This window comes from Homo sapiens, chromosome 7 (genome assembly GCF_000001405.40).
Source record: "Homo sapiens chromosome 7, GRCh38.p14 Primary Assembly".
In the NCBI taxonomy this organism is placed as follows: Eukaryota; Metazoa; Chordata; class Mammalia; order Primates; family Hominidae; genus Homo; species Homo sapiens.
Genome location: NC_000007.14, coordinates 87,127,971 through 87,146,441, shown reverse-complemented (window position 1 = coordinate 87,146,441; position 18,471 = coordinate 87,127,971). Strand labels below are relative to the sequence as shown.

The window sequence follows — 18,471 nt, the reverse complement described above, 5'->3', positions numbered from 1 at the left end:
GTTATTTCTCCTCTAAAATTACCTGAAATATCAACCCAGTCTTTTAATACCTAGTTTAAGAATTACATTGTAGTAAGTTGTAGTAAATATAACTGTATCAAATTAAATTCCATAGCATAGTACTTTTGTTACAGTGACTGCATCTTAAGTGGGCAGAGGTGAAGTCATATAATATATAATTTTTAATTTAATAAAATTGGGGCTAATAGGATTAGGAAAGGAGAGTTTCTATGGGGTGTTTAGACTTGAGAATAACCTTATTATATATAATCATATTTTGTAATTTCAGCAGTATTATATCTATTTTAGCAAACCTAGGATAAGGAAGATATGTGAATTCAGCAGTCACAGTATCTCTAATATCTTGTTTTCTGTGTTTATTTACATTTCTTAACCAGAAATATACATTTACGTAGAACTTTTGGCCTATGTTAATTCAACCTGGTGTAGCAAGACAAGGCTATCGCAGTCATTTTCTGAAATAAGGTGAAACTCCTTTCTCTATCTCTGTTGGATAAGCTCTGTTTTTGTTGAACAGAAGTCCATTTTCATATGATGCTGGAATCTTTTTTTCTTTTTTCTATTCTTTTGCCGAACAGCTGTCTGCCATGGAATCATTCTCTGAGAACACTCTTGATCTTGAGCCTGTAATAAATTTTCACAAGAATCTCCTCTGGGAAGGAATCCATGGTACTTTACCATTGTAGACCAATTGCTAGAGAAATATGTGATACAACAATGTCTCATACATAATGTTATAAATAACTGTTATTTGAAAAGGTCACAGTAAATATAGTACTATATAAGAAATCCGTCTCCTGCTATGGGTAACACTGAAAATAAATCTGAAGCCTTTCACTTTTAGGGCTTTCTTATATGTCTTTACCACAACAATATTTTTGATAAAGTAATAAATCGAAAGAAGGATTTTAGATTTCTCTTGGGTAAATGGCTTACAATTGATGGTAGCATTCAACAAGTGACCAGGGTTTTCCTACCATTCTCATATTCAGTTGGTGTTACAGTGTGATATTCTTAAATCCTTTATTTATTTGAAAATTTAAATAGAAAAGTGGTTGATTGTTTTTCTTTTTATTGTTGTTTAAACAAGTAAAAAGTGAAATTCAATTCCAATGAAAGAAGTCATGGATCATACGCTGCAGGTTTGCAAGGAATGTAACTGTTTTTCACTCTGTAACAAGCTTTCGGAGTGCTTCTCACACCCTGATGGATGTTCCTTTTAATTCTCTATAAATAAATGACCTTTACAGAGATTTTTAAGCATAAACTCCCTCAATAGCCTGCCTCCATCCCCATGCATTCATCTGTGCTCATTCTAAATTCCTTCCCTCCGATCCTAGAGATGTTCCTTCTCTTATTCAAGGCTAATTCCTCTTTTTGTGCTTTTGATCTCATCTCCCCATAGAACTATTCTTACTTCCTTTTATATGTTTTCCACCACTATAGTCTGATTTCTGCCCATAACATGCTATGAAGATTATTAGTGACCTCCACACTGCTAGATCCAATGAACAATTTTCTATGATCATTTTACTTAATTTGTCAGCAACATTTCCTCCTGAAATAACCACCTCTTCCTTCTTTGAAAATGCATTTTCTAGGCTTTCTGATACAGTACATTGGAATTCCTCCTACTTCTTTAAACACTTTTTTGCTGGCCTGATTTTTAAATTTTAGAGTTCTTCACGGTGACCCCTAAGCCTATGTCTCTTTCTTATTCTATCCTCTTTCCCTAAGTAATGTCATCCACTCCAATGGCTTCAATTGCCCTCTATACACTGATGACTCCTACATTTATAACTCTGCTAATCTACTACTCAAATGCCCTGTTTCTTATGGAACTTCCCTATAAGGCTTGCAATGTAGCAGGTCATATATTTTCAAAGATAGCTACAGCAGTATCTCCCATCCAACAACCTTTTTATATAATGTGACTCTGACACTTCTCTCAGTGACAGGTGGTGGTATATGACTCCTTCCTCTTGAAACTGGACAGCTTTTGTGGCAATTTTAACGAAGTGAATATGCAGGAAGTGGTGCTATGTGACTTCTGAAAATAGGTCATAAAAGACCTATCAGCCATCATGTAAATAGTCCAGCTGCTATACTAGGAGGAAGGCCAAACTAGCCCATGCAGAAAAGCCACACAGAGAGGCCTGAGACTATATGAGAAGAGGTGAATGACTGGAGAGCCATTAACTGCTCCAGCCTCTCCTCCATATTAGTTACCTGTCGCCTCATAGTAATATCAAATTGCCCCAAAATGTAGTGGCTTACCACAGAGTTTAATAACCTCAATTTTTGTGAATCAGGAATTCAAGAGTGGTGTGACTGTCTGATTTGCTTAGGGACTTCTGCGAGGTTACAATCAAGATGTCAGCTGAAGTTGCAGTCATCTGAAGGCTTGACCAAGATGAGAAGATCCAGTTCCAAGATGGCTCATTCACATGGCTATTGATGAGAGGCATCATCCCTGGCAACTGGCTGAAGGCCTTAATTCCTCATCACATGGGCCTTTCTATAGGGCTGCTTGAGTGTCCTCTCAACATGGCAGCTGGCTTTCCTGAGAGAGCAAGTGATCTAAGAATGACAGCAAGCAGGAGGCTGGAATGCCTTTTGTGGTTTCAGAAGTTCATATTGTCACTTCGACTTTATTCTATTCATTAGAAGTGAGTCACTGGCCGGGCACAGTGGCTCACGCCTGTAGTCCCAGCAGTTTGGGAGGCCGAGGCTGTGTGATCACTTGAGGCCAGGAGTTTAAGACCAGCCTGATCAACGTGGTGAAACCCCGTCTCTACTAAAAATACAAAAATTAGCTGGGCGTGGTGGCAGGCATCTGTAATCCCAGCTACTCAGGAGGCTGAGGCAGGAGAACCGCCTGGACCCAGGAGGCAGAGGTTGCAGTGAGCCGAGATTGTTCCACTGCACTCCAGCCTCGGCGACAGAGTGAGACTCCGTCTCAAAGAAAAAAAAAAAGAAGTGAGTCACTAAGGCCAGCTGACACCCAAGGGAACAGAGATGAGACTCTACCTTTCGAAGGGATTTTTGGACACCCTTCATCCACTGTTACAGATCCAGCTATCATCTCATTGCAAAAGCATGAGACACCCAGAAGTTTATCCCAGCCTTTCCCAAAATCCTGGTCCACAGAAACTATGAACAATAATAAAATGATGATTGTTGTCTTAAGCCATTATGTTTCAAGGTAGTTTTTTTCCTAGCACTAGCTAACCAGAACATAGAATCTTCTGGACTGAACTCTGAAAAACGAGAAAGTAATTCCTTCTTCTCTGAGATTTCCTCAAAATATGGGGTTTCTATTATTTTCTCTCCTGCCACCCTAGGATTTTGACTCCTAGAAGGGAGTATCATATGGGGGGCTTTTCTCAGGTACCTACTGGTACTTGTAAGTTTGTCAAAAGTTTCACTTTGTTTTGGTTGGAAAAACTGCCCTTATGTCATCAGCAGTCTCCCTGTGCTCTGGTTCATGATATAAACTCTGATCTAGGTAATCTATGCCCTTCTTTTAGTTTTCAAATGAAAGGTTTTAGACTCTCCAAGTCCATTTTTTCTCCATAATTCCTGGCTCTTAAAGATCAAAAGCTCTGGATTTCAATATTATTGGCTCATATAAATTTATAAAAATCCATTAAATATTTATTTGTTCTAGTTCATATATATGTTTTCTGTCAGTATAGAAAGTATCAAAGCTGCCTTTATTGGGGGGAAGCGTAATAGGTACAAGAATGTGCAGGAGGGAGTAGCAACCAATTAATAGCTCAAAGATACTATTATGCTAAAGAAACATTTGACATGTAGCATTTATATTAAGTGGTATTTGGTTTTACATAGTTACAAGTTTGCACAAAATATGTATATATGTCATAATTCATTATCTTATTTTTCTTTACAAAAGATTTTGAGATTTGGGAGAAACGGAATGGATAACCAGGACTAGAGTTCCAGTTTACAACACTGCAACATAGGAAATGCAGATTGGCAGAAACATGTACTTGGAAATTTCCAGTATTCTTAGGAGAAAAGCAGCACAGCTGAGGGTATTCTAAAGACTATAGAGATGCCCCTGAGTCCCAAAAGGGCTGGAAATGGAGCATTTACCTGAGTCCTTTCCAAGTGATAGAGACAAGATCAGAAGTGGTTATAGGGCAAAATTCAGAGATGTTGAGCCTGCTCACAAGAGATTAAAGGATTAAAAAGATGAGGATTTTGCAAATGTTACGTGTTAGAAGCTGAATTTGTTGCTTATTACTTTCAACATATTTTAATACATAATGGACACAAGCACTTGCAAGTCATAGTGTGTGCAGAAAAGGAATGTGTTTGTCAGTGTAATAGATATTCCCACATTTATTATGTTGCAACAAAGTAAAATAGTTATCAAAATTACCTGAATTCTACATGTCAGTAATTAGTAACATAGACATTACCTGAGTATCTGGGCAGAAATCTGAAACTCCCACCAGTAGTTCAAATAGGACACAATGATGTTCTGTATAGAACATCAGTTGACCAGATATTTTAAACTTCTATTCTTCCACAGCTTATACAGGAAGGAGTGGACTAATTGATCAACAGCAATTTCTTCTAAGACGGCTGCCTGTGTTATACGTGGTTAACATCTGAAAGTTCACTTTCTATGAATAATGAAACATCAAAGCTTACCTAAGTTTTCCTGCTGACTGTTAATATTTATTTGTTTCTGACTAAACTTTCTCCATGAGAGCTTCTACTGGTAACGAGGCCTCTTCAGCAATGAATTATTTTGTAATCAGGCATGCCTCAATCTGTCAGAAGTGCACAGTTGTCCATCTGTTGTGTAGTTTGCACTAACATTATAAACTATAGTCCATTTGGCCTCTTTTGGAAAGACTGGAAATTCATCCTGTTTCCTTTACTGATGTCTTAGTGTCAGTACACAAAATGTGGTCGAGAAGAAATTTAGGTGGCATTCTTAAAATCTGTGATAGTTACATTTAGCCTACATTTCAGTCAGGAAAGTGATTCATACTTCATGTCTATTTCCAGTAGCTAAAACTAACACTATGTTAAGTCTAACTAAAGCTCTCTAAAATTGCCAACTTTATGATTGCTATATGTAGCATGATTAGGAACTCTACACTGATTATTTTTAAAGAAACCATGTTTTTTTTTCATTTATGCTTAATTCTGCTTTTAGCACCCTTGTTTGTTTAAATGTTACAGATTTTAAAAGAAACTGTTGGTACTCAGAAGTCAGCAAGGCCTCCTATCTCCTATTTCATGAAATCAGTGTAAGGTTTTCTTAATGTCCAATTCCAAAGTCCAGTTAAACTCAAAGCTTTCCATAGTCTTCTGTATGTTATCAGGGTTTCATACTATCATGGCTCTCTCTTCCTCTAATTTTTGCATTCAGGAATGTAGTACTTTATTTTACCTTAAAAAATTGAGTTTCTTTACCAGTTTTCATCAGGGTTCTCATTCCAAGATTTTAGAAAAGAAATTCATAATAGAGTAAAAAGTTTCTGAGAGGAATCATAGCCTTCTATCATTCCTGTGGCTTCCTTTTTGTCTTTCCTACTCTCCTACCTCTCAGGAACAAAGCCAATTTGTCTTCTTGCCCTTTATATAGCGTTTTAGTAGGCTGATATACTTGAGCTTCCTTGTGCTAGTGACTATACTGAGCCTTATTTTCATTCCTCCTTTCTTCTATAGTAAAAGTAAAATATTTGAGTGCCAAGATAACAATATATTCCCCAGCCTTCTGTGCAACCAGGTATAATTATATGACCATGGCCAGTGTGATGCAAGCAGAACTGAAGTACAATGTCTGTCTTTTTCCCTAAAGGAATGAGCACGCCCTCCTTTTCACCTTGACCCTTTCCTTCTGCCTGGCATGTGGTGGTAATGAATCATCTGGAACTGTGTAGATAAGGCCAACAGGAATAGTGGAGCAACAAGATAGATTGACACTGTCAAATCCTCATGCCTATCTTTGGTTGACTACATCCTGTTACACAAGAGAGAAGTAAACTCCTATTCTGTTTAATCAATTTATAGTTTGGGTCTCTGTTTCTGCAGCTGAGTCTACATCCTAATCAATACCATTTTCTTCAGCCTCTCACCCGGCATTTCTTAAGAATACAATGCTCTTTCTAAGAGGAAATCTAGTTAACCAAGTTTTCTCCTCTTCCTTATATTTATATATAACTTTCTGTAGAAGGGGAAGATGAGTGACATTTCCTTTAGTAAAGATTTGAGAATAAAGGCACTTCAGGCAGAGGGAAGTTTTATAACTAAATATTCCAGAAAGTGCAAAGCATTTCTATGGAATAAAAACATCATGCAGTTTGGGTGGGACATAGGAGAATTCTGGAAAACAACATTGGAAATGTGACTTGGGTGGGATAAAGTAATGGAGAGGTATATTAGTTAACCTTTGCTGCTTTGCTGTGTGACAAAACACCTCAACTTTTAGTGTATTAAAACAATTATTAGTTCATTACCAAATGGTGGGCAGTTGGGGCTCTCAGCAGTTGGTCAGTTCTTGTGCTGTTTTACCTGGGTTTACCCATGCATTGGAGTCAGCTAGAGGATCAACTGGGATTGGATGACCTCATTAACATGTCTAGCTGACAGGTTGATGGCTAGTATGCCTTAGTTTCCCTCCATGTCATCATTTCAGTTGTCTAGCTTGGGCTTGTTCATATAGCAGCAATGTTCCAAGAGTGTAAGAATGCATAACTCAATGTTCAAGCACTTTCCAAGCCACTAGTTGTTTTACACTAGCAAGTCGTTGACCAAGACCACATACAAAAGTTGAAAGAAAAGCCTTCACTGCTTGATAAGGAGAGCTGCAAATTGTCAAGGGACAATATTTTGCAATATTCTAGGTCCTTGGATACTAAGCTAAGAAATTTGGACTTTTAATTGGTATGCAGTGAGGAAGGAAGGGCACAAACTTAGAGATCAACCTTAGATGGAACCAAAAAAGGTCTTTAAAAAAACAGACTTGATTTACAGAACAGTTTTAGAGTTACAGAAAAATGGAGAAGATAGTGCAAAGAGTCCCTATATCCCCCATGTGAGGTATTCCTTATTATTAACATCTTACATTAGTATGGTATATTTGTTGCAATTAATGAACCAATATTGATACAGTATTATTAACTGAAGTCTATACTTTATTCATATTTCTTTAGTTTTCATCTAATGTTCATTTTTTGTTCTAGGATATCATCAGGATGACATATTACATTTAATTGTCACATCTACTTAGCTCTTCTAGGCTGTGACAGTCTTTTAGACTTTGTTTTTGGTGACCTTGACTGTTTTGAGGAGTACTGGTCGGATATTTTGTAGGATGCACCTTGACTGGAATTTGTCTGATGTTTTTCTTATGATTAGACTTAGATTATAGGTTTTTGGGAGGAAGACCACAGAGCTAAATTGCCATTTTCATTGCATTATATCAAAGGTACACACTATCCACATGACTTCCCACATTTAATGTGAATCTTGATCACCTGCCAAGGAAATTTTGTTCTCTACTGTAAAGTTACACATTTGCACTCATTTTGTGTACTTTTTGGAAGGAAGTCTCTATTCTTAGCCCACACTTAAGGATTAGAGAGTTATTTTACACCCTCCATCTTTAGGGTAGAGTATCTACATAAATTATTAGGAATTATTCTACATGGGAGATTTAGTTATTCTTTCCCATTTATTAATATATTCAATCATTTATATCAGCATAAGTTCATAGATGTTTATCATATACATTGTGTTATAATATAATACAAGTTTATTTTGTTTTTTTGCTCAATTTTTTCCAGCTTTGTAATATATTACCATGGTTGCAAAAAAAAAAAATCCTACACTATTCTACTTTCAACATTGTTTTGTCTTTTTCTCCCCAGGATCTCACTGACATGTATCCTTTCTCTTGAATTTACTGACTTACCTCATTTTATTTCTGCCAACTAATCCTTTTCTCTACTCTGAATTCCTTCTTTGATTAATACTGATCATGCAATAGTTTACACATACGATATTCAGGTACTATGGCTCTAGATTTGTTTAATAATATAAATAAATCTCATGGAGGAAGGGCAAAGAGGGAACATTTTTGAGAAAGAATTTGGTTATTGTCCCTCCTTTGCCTCCACCTCTCCCGGTTCTACTCATTATGAAAGATATCTGCCAGCCTGACAATAATGTTCAATATTTAATAATTCAGGAGTGACCATTCACTCATCAAACATTTATGAGTTTCTATATGTGCTAATCATTTGTCAAAGAATGAAGGGTAGATATAACGATGAATAATAAAATGTATGGTTTCTGCCCTTGAAGATCTCAGTTTAATAAAAACATTAGGCAAGAGAAAAATAATTTGGTTTCAAACTTGGGATCTTTTTATCTGTAATTAATTGTTCTACTTGAACATAAAGTCCCTTGGGGAGCAGAGCATGAGGATGGAATACAGTTGAAGAGAAGGGGCAGTGAGCTGAAACTCAGAATTTGAGATTTTAGCAACGGAGAAAGTATACTCTAGAAGGAAGTTTTTATGATATGGCTGTGTTGGTTGATAGAAGCTGAGTATAGTTTTGGTGGTTAAGATGTGAGTTCATAATATTAAATGAATTAGGATAGATGTTGAAGTCAAAAGATAATAGTGTCCAAAGTTAGAGAGAATAATCTAAACCTGAGGGTAAAATAATAATTGAAGTTAGGACAGTGTTGGAATTTAGTAGGTTACAAATGTAATGAAGGGTTCACTGACCACATCTCTTAAGCCCCACAATTTTTCTCCTAGAAATTTCAAATAGGCATTCTGATGAGTGTGAGATGGTATCTCATTTGAGTTGCATTTATTTGATGATTAATGATGTTGAGCATTGTTTCATGTTCATTAGCTGCTTATATGCCTTCTTTTGAAAAGTGCCTATTCATGTCTTTTGCCCAGTTCTTAATGGGATTATTTGGTTTTTGTTTGTTGAATTGTTTAAGGGCCTTATATATTCTGGATAGTTGATCTTTGCTGGATGCATAATTTGCAGATATTTTTTCCCATTCTGTAGCTTGTCTTTTTACTTTGTTAATAATTTCTTTTGCTGTGTAAAGCTCTTTAGTTAGGTCTAACTGGTTAATTTTTGTTTTTGTTGCAATTGTTTTTGGGGACTTAGTCATAAATTCTTTCCCAAGGCCAATGTCCAGAATGTTGTTTCCTAGGTTTTCTTTTAGGATTCTTATAGTTTGAGGTGTTACATTTAAATCTTTAATCCATCTTGAGTTAATTTTAGTGTATGGTGAAAGGTAGAGCTCCAGTTTTATTCTTCTGCATGTGGCTTGCCAGCTATCCCAGAATGGCTGTTATTAAAAAGTCAAAAAACAACAGATGCTGGCAAGGCTGCGGAAAAAACAGAACACTTATACACTGTTGGTGGTAATGTAAATTAGTTCAGCCACTGTGGAAAGCAGTTTGGAGATTTCTCCAAGAGTTTAAAACAGAACTAATATTTAACCCAGCAATCCCATTACTGGATATATATCCAAAAGAAAATAAATTATTCTATGAAAAAGACACATCCACTCATTTGTATATTGCAGCACTATTCATAATAGTAAAGACATGGAATCAACCTGGGTGCCCATTATTCGTGGATCAGATAAAGAGAATAAGGAGTATATAAACTATGAAATAGTATGCAGCCATAAAAAAAGAATGAAATCATGTCCTTTGCAGCAACATGGATGCAGCTGGAGGCCATTACCCTAAGTGAATTACATAGGAACAGAAAACCAAATGCTGTACGTTCTCACTTATAAGTGAGAGCTAAATGTTGGGTACTCATGGACATAAAGATGGCAACTATAGACCCTGGGGACTACTTGGGGTGGGGACAAGGTTGGAAAAATAAAGTAAAATGAATTAGCAAAAAAAGGAACTTCATAGGTAGAAACTGAAAAATAGCGTCACTTCGGGCAACTTCAAGGGCAGTCTATATCACCTGGCGAGAACTAGAGAAGGACAAATGGAAGAATATGGAAGACAGTGCAATAACTGTACAGGCAGGGTAAATGGTAGGCATGTATAAAATAACTGTTGGAATACTTTACAAAGGGAAAATGAAATCCAGTAATCAAGGTAGCAGTGGTATACCACACTAATATAATTTGGGCATTTTCAGAGTTGTCATGACATTGTATCATAATCATAGGCCTTTATTTAGCCTGGATCATATAGATCTAGTTAGCATATAGACCATGTGGCCTAGAGAGCCAGGCCATACATGTATAAGGAGCAGATGGCCTAAGGCATGGATGGGAAAAAGAGGAAATGGCATGAGGCCAACTAAAGGGCATTGGGAAGCAGGGAAAAGTTTATTCCTCTTTTTATGTGAATTGGAGAAAATAATAATTAACACATTATAGCAAGTTTCAAAGCTAAAGATATAATCGGGGGAAGATAGATTTTGATAATGTTATTTTAACTGAAAGAACACTTTTGGAAAAGTGTTTGAGAGTGCAAGGAGTTTCACAACTGGTTAGAGATGCAATAGAATGCAACAGGAGCTAGTGAGTGTTAGGCCAAGGTAGAGGACTATGGAAGAGGGAGGGAGAGAGATGGTATTGAGCTCCTTGGAGCAAAATGTACTTATAAGAAGTTACACTATCTCAGTGTAAGCCACAGACTAGGGATTTGATAGTTAAATAAAGGAATAAAAATAACTTCTAACAAATGGCAAATTTGTAACTAATAATTGCTCAAATAATTGAGAACAGAATGAATGAAGAGCATATGCTGCTTATTTGAGCTGTCAGCACTTAGATGAGCTGTTGACAAAAATGGAATGATACTAAATTAGATTGAAGATCTTGCAGAATGCATTCAGAGAATACAGTGGAAACACTGGCACTTTAATCAAGTGGAAAAGTCATAATGTGAATTACTTTTTACAATGTGTGAAAAAAGTATAGAATGATATATGGGCCATATTGTGATACTTTCTTAGGTTGAGGTGAAGGAAATGTAATGGTTCTCTCTTTCTCCCACAATACTGTTTCCTTTCCCCAAATATTTTGGTACCCATCTCTGATGTGGGGTTTTCTTCTGGGAAGAATGATAGAAGATGGAAAAAGGGAAGAATGCTGGCAAGCGCACAGAGTTAAATTGGAGAAAAACAGTATCCTCCCTAACTTCCCATTTCTCATTCCCCTAGCATCTGCCCCCACCCCCAGCACTAGAGAACTGAATTTGGATGTCCTAAACCCAAAGAGAGCAAAGATCTCTATGTGTGCCTGCTTTGAACAACACAATGAAAATAGAATCAGAAACTAGATTTAAACTCAATTTTGAAGGCAGAAACATTTGAAATCTTTGAAATGAAAAACTGGACAATTTAAAATGACCCAAAATAATGTAATAGAATTGTCTCCTGCAGGGAAAAGTCTTTATAAATCTGATCCAGAAGTTTGCATCTGTTATTTAATGTTACTTTTTGTCATTTACCAGTTACCTTCCCTTGGACTAACTAGTTAATTCACACTTGAAAGTTTACTTATACACAGAGTTCTGAAGACTTGAGTTTGGTACCCCCCACCACCCAGTTTTGATTTATTTTTTATTCAAATAGTACCAATATCAAATTTATAGAAAAGTTGCAAGTACAGTATAATGAACATTTTTCTAAGCCCATTTGAGAATATGTTGCTGATATGATGCACCATCATCCATGAATAAAGTGTTATTTCCTACAGTGACATTTTCTTAGATACCTGTAATCAACACATTACTACCATCTGATCTTCAGATATCATTCAAATTTCACCAGATGTCCCAATATATCTTTTATAGAAAGAGAATCCAGGTCAGAATCATGTGTTGTATTTAGTTGTCATGTCTCTTTAGTTTCCTTCAATATGGAAGAGCCTCTCCTTGACTTTTATGAACTTGACACTTAACAAAAATTACAGACCGGTTATTTTGTAAAATATCCCCCCATTTGAAATTGTCTAATGTGTCCTCATGACAAAATTTATGTTCTCTGGCTTTGTCAGAAATAACAGAAAAAAATGCCTTATTTAATGCATTGTATCCCATCAGGTGGCACAAGATTTTGATTTATGCTGTCTTTTAAAAAATGTCTTATTGCTACTGTAATAAGTTAACCCGAATTTAGTGGACTAAATAACACGAACTTATTATTTTCCACTTCTGGATATCAGAAACCTGAAACGAGTTCACAGGGTTAAAATGAAAGTATCAGTATAGGTGTATCCTTTCTAGAGGCTCCAGGGCAGAATCTGTTTCCTTCCTTTTTTTTTTTTTTTAGCTTCTATAAGCTACCTGAATTCCTCGACTCACGGCCCCCTTCCGTCTTCAAAATCAACAATCACATCACTTCAAACTCTGTGTCCATTACATCTCCTTGTCTGACTCCTTCTGCCTTCCTTATCTACTTTCAAGGATCCTTGTGATTACATTGACCCAGCCCTGGTAATCCAGGATAGTCTCTTCATCTCAAAATCCTTAATTTATCACATCTGCAAAGTTCTTTTTGCCATATAAAGTAACATCTTTACAAGTTCTGGGAATTAGGATGTGACATCAGAGGTGGGCATTATTCTGCCTATCACACCCGTTTTTAGTGATGTTCATGATACTGCTGCAACAAACATGGAAGTGCAGATATCTCTGCCAGTTTCCTTCACTTTGTTTTCTCACTATAAATAATAACTTTTATGGGTGAAATTTTTGGTACTATGCAAATATCCCGTTCTCTATAGAATTATTTATTTATTTAGTTAGTTATTTTGTTATGGGTTTTGGTGGATTATGAAATAAAATTCTATAAATTGTTGTTTGTAAAATAAATAAGTAAACAAACAAACCTCTTGTTCCAGGCTTGTTTTGTACTTTCTCTGCCCCACACATTAAGTCAGTCATTATTCCAAGAAGGCCTGGTTTTCTTTTAGTAGAGAATGGTATTTGCCAATAAAGAAGTGGACAGTAGGTGTGGCCGTTACTATTGGAATGTGGCTATTCTGAGGTCCTCTCAGTGGACAGAACTTTAGATATATCTTCATAAAGAGACTTGGATAAGAATAGTTATGTAGCTTTATCCATAGAAGCTCAAAGCTGAAAACACAAATGTCTTCAACAGAAGGATGCATAAAAATTGTGGTATATTCATGCAATGAAATACTGCTTAGAAAATTAAAATTTTTTCATTTTTAATTTTTGTAGGTACATAGTGGGTATATATATTTATGAGGTACATGAGATAGTTTTGTACAGACGTGCAATGTGTAATAATCACATCATGGAAATTTGGGTATCTATCCCCTCAAACATTTATCCTTTGTGTTATAAACAATCCAATTATATACTCTTTTAGTCACTTTAAAATGTACAATTCAGTTATTATTGACTATAGTCCCCCTGTTGTGCTATCAAATACTAGGTCTTATTCAATTTTTCTAACTATATTTTTGTACTCATTAACCACCCCCATTTCCCCCCTCCTTCTCACTACCTTCCCTAGCCTTTGGTAACCATCCTTCTACTCTCATGTCCATGAGTTCAATTGTTTTGATTTTTAGGTCCCACAAATAAGTGAGAACATGTGCCTGACTTATTTTACTTAACATAATAACCTCCAGTTCCATCTGTGTTTTTGCAAATGACAGAATCTCATTCTTTTTTATGGCTGAATAGTACCGCATTTTGTGTAAGTACCACATTTTCTTTATCTAGTCATCTATTGATGGACATGTATGTTACTTCCAAATCTTGGCTACTGTGAATACTGCTGCAACAAACATGAAAGTGCAGATATCTCTTGCATATACTGATTTCCTTTCTTTTGGGCATATACCTAGCAGTGGGATTGCTGGATCACACCGCAGTTCTATTTTTAGTTTTTGAGGAACCTCCAAACTGTTCTCCATAGTGGTTATACTAATTTACATTCCCACAAACAGTGTACCAGGGTTTCCTTTTCTCCACATTCTCACCAGCATTTGTTATTGACTATCTTTTGGATATAAGCCACTTTAACTGAGATAATATGATATCTCATTGTAGATTTATTTGCATTTGCATTGACGATGTGGCACACCTTTTCATATGCCTGTTTGCCATTTGTATGTCTTCTTTTGAGAAATGTCTATTCAAATATTTTGTCCATTTTTTGATCAGATTATTAGAGTTTTTCCTATAGAGTTGTTTGAGCTCCTTTTATATTCTGATTATTAATCCCTTGTCAGATGGATAGTTCGCAAATATTTTCTTTCATTCTGTGGGCTGTCTCTTCACTTCTGGATTGTTTCCTTTGCAATATGCAGAAGCTTTTTAACTTGATGTGATCCCATTTGTCCATTTCCGCTTTGGTTGCCAGGAAATTTTTATTTTAAAGATAAAAGAAAGAACAAATGACATAAGCTATCACATGGATAAGTTTCAACATCATTATGTTAAATGAAAGAATCCAGATGCAGACAAGAACACCCTGCATGAATCCATTTATATGAAGGTCAAGAACAGGCAAAACTAAACTGTAGTAATAGATAGAACAGTGGCTGTCGATAAAGATTGGAATTGAGTGGAAAGAGACAGTAATTTGCTGCCATTGTGAAAATATTTTATCTCTTAATCGGGGTGTTGGTTACACAGTATACCCATTGAATTGTACATGTAAGATTTCTACAGTTCAGTTATGTGGATTTTAACGCAATTTAAAAAAATGATAAGTGATTATCTGACGGCTTGGAGGATAAGTTTTTGTTCCTTGTCTTGCTTTTCTTCCTGGCAATTGTCATGTAACTTTGAGGATGTGTATTAGGATTCTTCAGAGAAAGAGAATCAATAGGAGATAATTATTTATTTATTTATTATTTATAATGAGGAATTAACTCATGCTATTATGGAAGCTGAGAAGTCCCACAATCTGCTGTTCTCAAGCTAGAGATCCAGGAAAGCCAGTGGTATAACACAATCTGAGACCAAAGGCCTGAGAACCAGGAGAGCAGATGGCATAAATCTTAGTTCTATTCAGACCCATAATAGACTAGATGATTCCTGCTCACATTGGGGAGGGCAATCTACTTTACTAAGTCCACTGGTTCAAATGCTAATCTCACCCCAAAACACCTTCACAGAGGCACCCAGAAATAATGTTTAATCTGGGAACCCCATGGCCTAGTCAAGTTGACACATTATAAAATTCACCATCACAGGATGGCAGCCACAAGATGAGTGGTGAAAGAAAGACAAAGTTTAAGTTCCTCATAGCATTGTAGGTAGCATCACATAGCATCCCTGAACTGCATACCTCCAGAATGCATGTGCTCACAATATGGCCACAATCTGGAGGGAGATGACTAGGCAAGAGTGCCTAGCTATTTATTTAGCTCCCCTCATGATGGCATTAAGCTTAGTGAATTCCTTAGTGTGTGCCTGTGTGTGTGTGCAGGAGAAAGAGAGAGACACAGAGAGAGAGAGATTGAGATCCTAATGGGATCAAGCCATTGTAGCTGAAACTCAGTTACCAGTCCAAACCATTTCCTTACTGATGCATTTCCCCGATCTCCTTTTCTTTCATCTTGTCTGGTTATGAATACAGTATATTTGTAAACCTAAATGTACTATCAACTCTATGAGGAAGAATTAAGTAGTTATCTCACATGATAGTAAGTTCCTATTCCTAAACTGTATTCCATGGAATATTAATGTTACCAAAAAGGTATCCCATATTCAAATAAACTACATTCGCCATTTATGTATGAACAATAGTAAATGATTGGGAATTGTAAATTCCCTCTGGGGAATACATTGTATTCATTGCTGAAACATTTCTTGGCCACAGAAGCTGTTTTCAATAGTATATCAGGCTGGATCAGAATATATGTTTGGAAACATCACTCTAGATTAAGGGTGAACCTTGGAATGAAATCCTAACAGTAAACACCTCTTCCTTTTGGGATTTGCTATCTTCCTCACCCAACCTCTCCTCATTATAGCAGTGTATGTAGCCTGCTTCAATTTGCTGTCATAGACCAATCGTACTCAGGGAATTTCTTTCCCACTTTGGCAGAACTATGGTAAAGCTCCCTAAGACAAAGTGAATGTTTAAAGTCCTCTTAGTGCAATGACTTCACATCTTCTGACCTGCCTGTTTTGCCCTTCTTCTTCAGTTCATTTATTCCTGACTATCTAGGCCTCTGATCTAATTCTTCTCTCCAGGGCCTCTGTAAACATTATGCGTGTGCAGGCAAAACTCCAGCAGGCACCATTCACATAGATGGTGACCTGAAAAGTGCCCCTAGAACCGTCCAGAGGGGCAGCTGTAATCCTGCTCTGACTCTTTCCCTTCCTGCCTGCACTAGTTTTCTGATTGACTCTATGTTCTGGGTTTCGCTATTTATGGATCATGACTTCTGTTTTCTAGTTTCTGACTCTTCTTGGTTTCCCTGTCTTTACTTTCACCTTGTGTACACTTTTGAGCTTTTGACCTATTGGTCTCAGGACTGACTATGGCTAAAGTAAACTGGTATCCCACTTCTAAGTACTAACTAACACTTCCCAATTATTTCTCTTCCCTTTTTAAATGTAGTTTTGCTTAAAACAGAATTCTATCCAAATGACACTTCGGAGACATGTAAGGGAGGCTAAAGAAAGAGGATTTTTTAAAATTCAAGATTACAATGTGCTATGAATATTTGGGGGTGAAGGTGAGCTCCCTTCCTCCTCAGAAAGACTTTAGATTGCCTGTTGAGAATTAATGTTTTAAAAGGATCACAGCATTGAATAGGAAAATCTTCTCTAAATAGGAACAATGGCTTCCCAGCGGGTAACACTGAACTGTAACCTGATTGAATGTATTTAGTAGCTAAAGAAAGAATGTGTCAGCCAGAAGGTATGGGAGCTTGGTTAGCCCTGAAATTTCAGAAAGAGAAAGATCACAGGGGCAAAAGTTGAATGTATCTCGAGACAAGAGACCTTGGTGCAGAGACAGCAGAAAAATGACAATACTCACTCCAAGGTTATGGTTACCAAGAAACCTTTTGATCGTAATTTAACTTTTCATATAGTGCTCCTATAGGTAAAGAAGGTGTAGGCTGTGAGATTGAGTAGCAGTAAATGCATTCCTTTGCAAATTAGCGTACTTGAGTTTGCGTTTATACGTCAGTCTTTGTGAGCTGGTCTAATGAGATACTGCCTGCTGAACTGACAGACAGGTTTATGAGCTTTCCAGGCTGAGAGCTGAGGCTGTGAGGAATTCAGTAAGGTTAATGCCATCCGGAGGGGAGCTAAATGAGTAGCTAGGCAATCTTCCCTAGACATCTCCCTCCAGATTGTGGCCATGTTGTGAGCACATTTTCTTCAGATTTCTCATCCATGTAACTCTCTATTAAGTGTATCAATATTAGTGGCACACTGGTATTCATACACATTCACAATCTCCTTCCTGCCTCCATTTTGGGGTGAAAGTATCAGCAGGAAACATAGGGATATTATGAACACACATGAGAAATTAGATAAAAGAAAGGATTTCCTGACAGGTGTCCTTTAAAAGTTTTGTTTCTTTTTCATTTTTTATCTTAATGTAATTAAATTGACTTATTAATCAACTAATTAATCGAGTTTGTTTGTTTTAGCAAAATAATTCAGCACCAGTTTGCCAGAAATAGCTCTTTTGTTTTCTTTTTCTGGAAAAAGAGCTAGGTCTGATGACAGCCTCTGTCGCTTCTATTCTGCAGATCCTAAAGTTTATTTGTTCCTCTTGATATTAAAAGTACTGTTCTGAGCAAGGATCTCTGTCAGTTACTATTGAAGTTTGGGGCTTGGGTTTTCTCTCACCAAGTTAGATGAAAAAGTAGGAAATTAATGTGTTTATTTACTTAATTTAAGCAACCTCCCTGAGTTTTGCTAAATTCCAGATTCCATATTGATAAGATAAACCTAGGTGGTTTCTTTTTATTCAGCCTTTCTCTATAGAAATATCGGAATCAAAATACAACTGTTCTAGTCACTGTGACTGTCTTGTTTTATTTAGACCCCCACCCAGTTTCTTCAGTGTCATAATCTATACTGTTTTTAGATTGCCAAAATATTGAGCTTGGTGTTGCTGACATGCTATTCAGTGACATTTTATGACCATACTTAAATTGTTTAGGCTTCAGTTTCCCACAACCTAAGTGCAAAAGAGTATTTGATGGTAGTATTTGATACTCTATTTGAATAGAATATTTGAAAACTTGTTGATGATTATGGTACTATTTGCATTTTTGAAATAATCACATTCCAAGTCACATGGGAGAACACACTTAGGTTTGCTGTCAGAAATGAGTTGGATGAAACTCTTAAACATGAACATGAAAGAAGTCAATGTGAGATGGCTGCAAGAACAGATCTAATTTTGTTCATGTTGAAAAAGTTAAACTTTC

General features: G+C 36.5%; 2 annotated features.

Moving 5' to 3' along the window:
- Nucleotides 2,396–2,475: an enhancer, noted in NCBI's record as "active region_26226". NCBI's record gives its function as "activates an Ori minimal core promoter by ATAC-STARR-seq in GM12878 lymphoblastoid cells {active_cell/tissue: GM12878}" and the evidence as "EXISTENCE:reporter gene assay evidence [ECO:0000049][PMID:35858748]".
- Nucleotides 16,590–17,350: an enhancer, noted in NCBI's record as "OCT4-NANOG-H3K27ac hESC enhancer chr7:86758408-86759168 (GRCh37/hg19 assembly coordinates)". NCBI's record gives its function as "activates a minimal SCP1, AML or CMV promoter by ChIP-STARR-seq in naive H9 embryonic stem cells {active_cell/tissue: H9 hESC(naive)}" and the evidence as "EXISTENCE:reporter gene assay evidence [ECO:0000049][PMID:30033119]".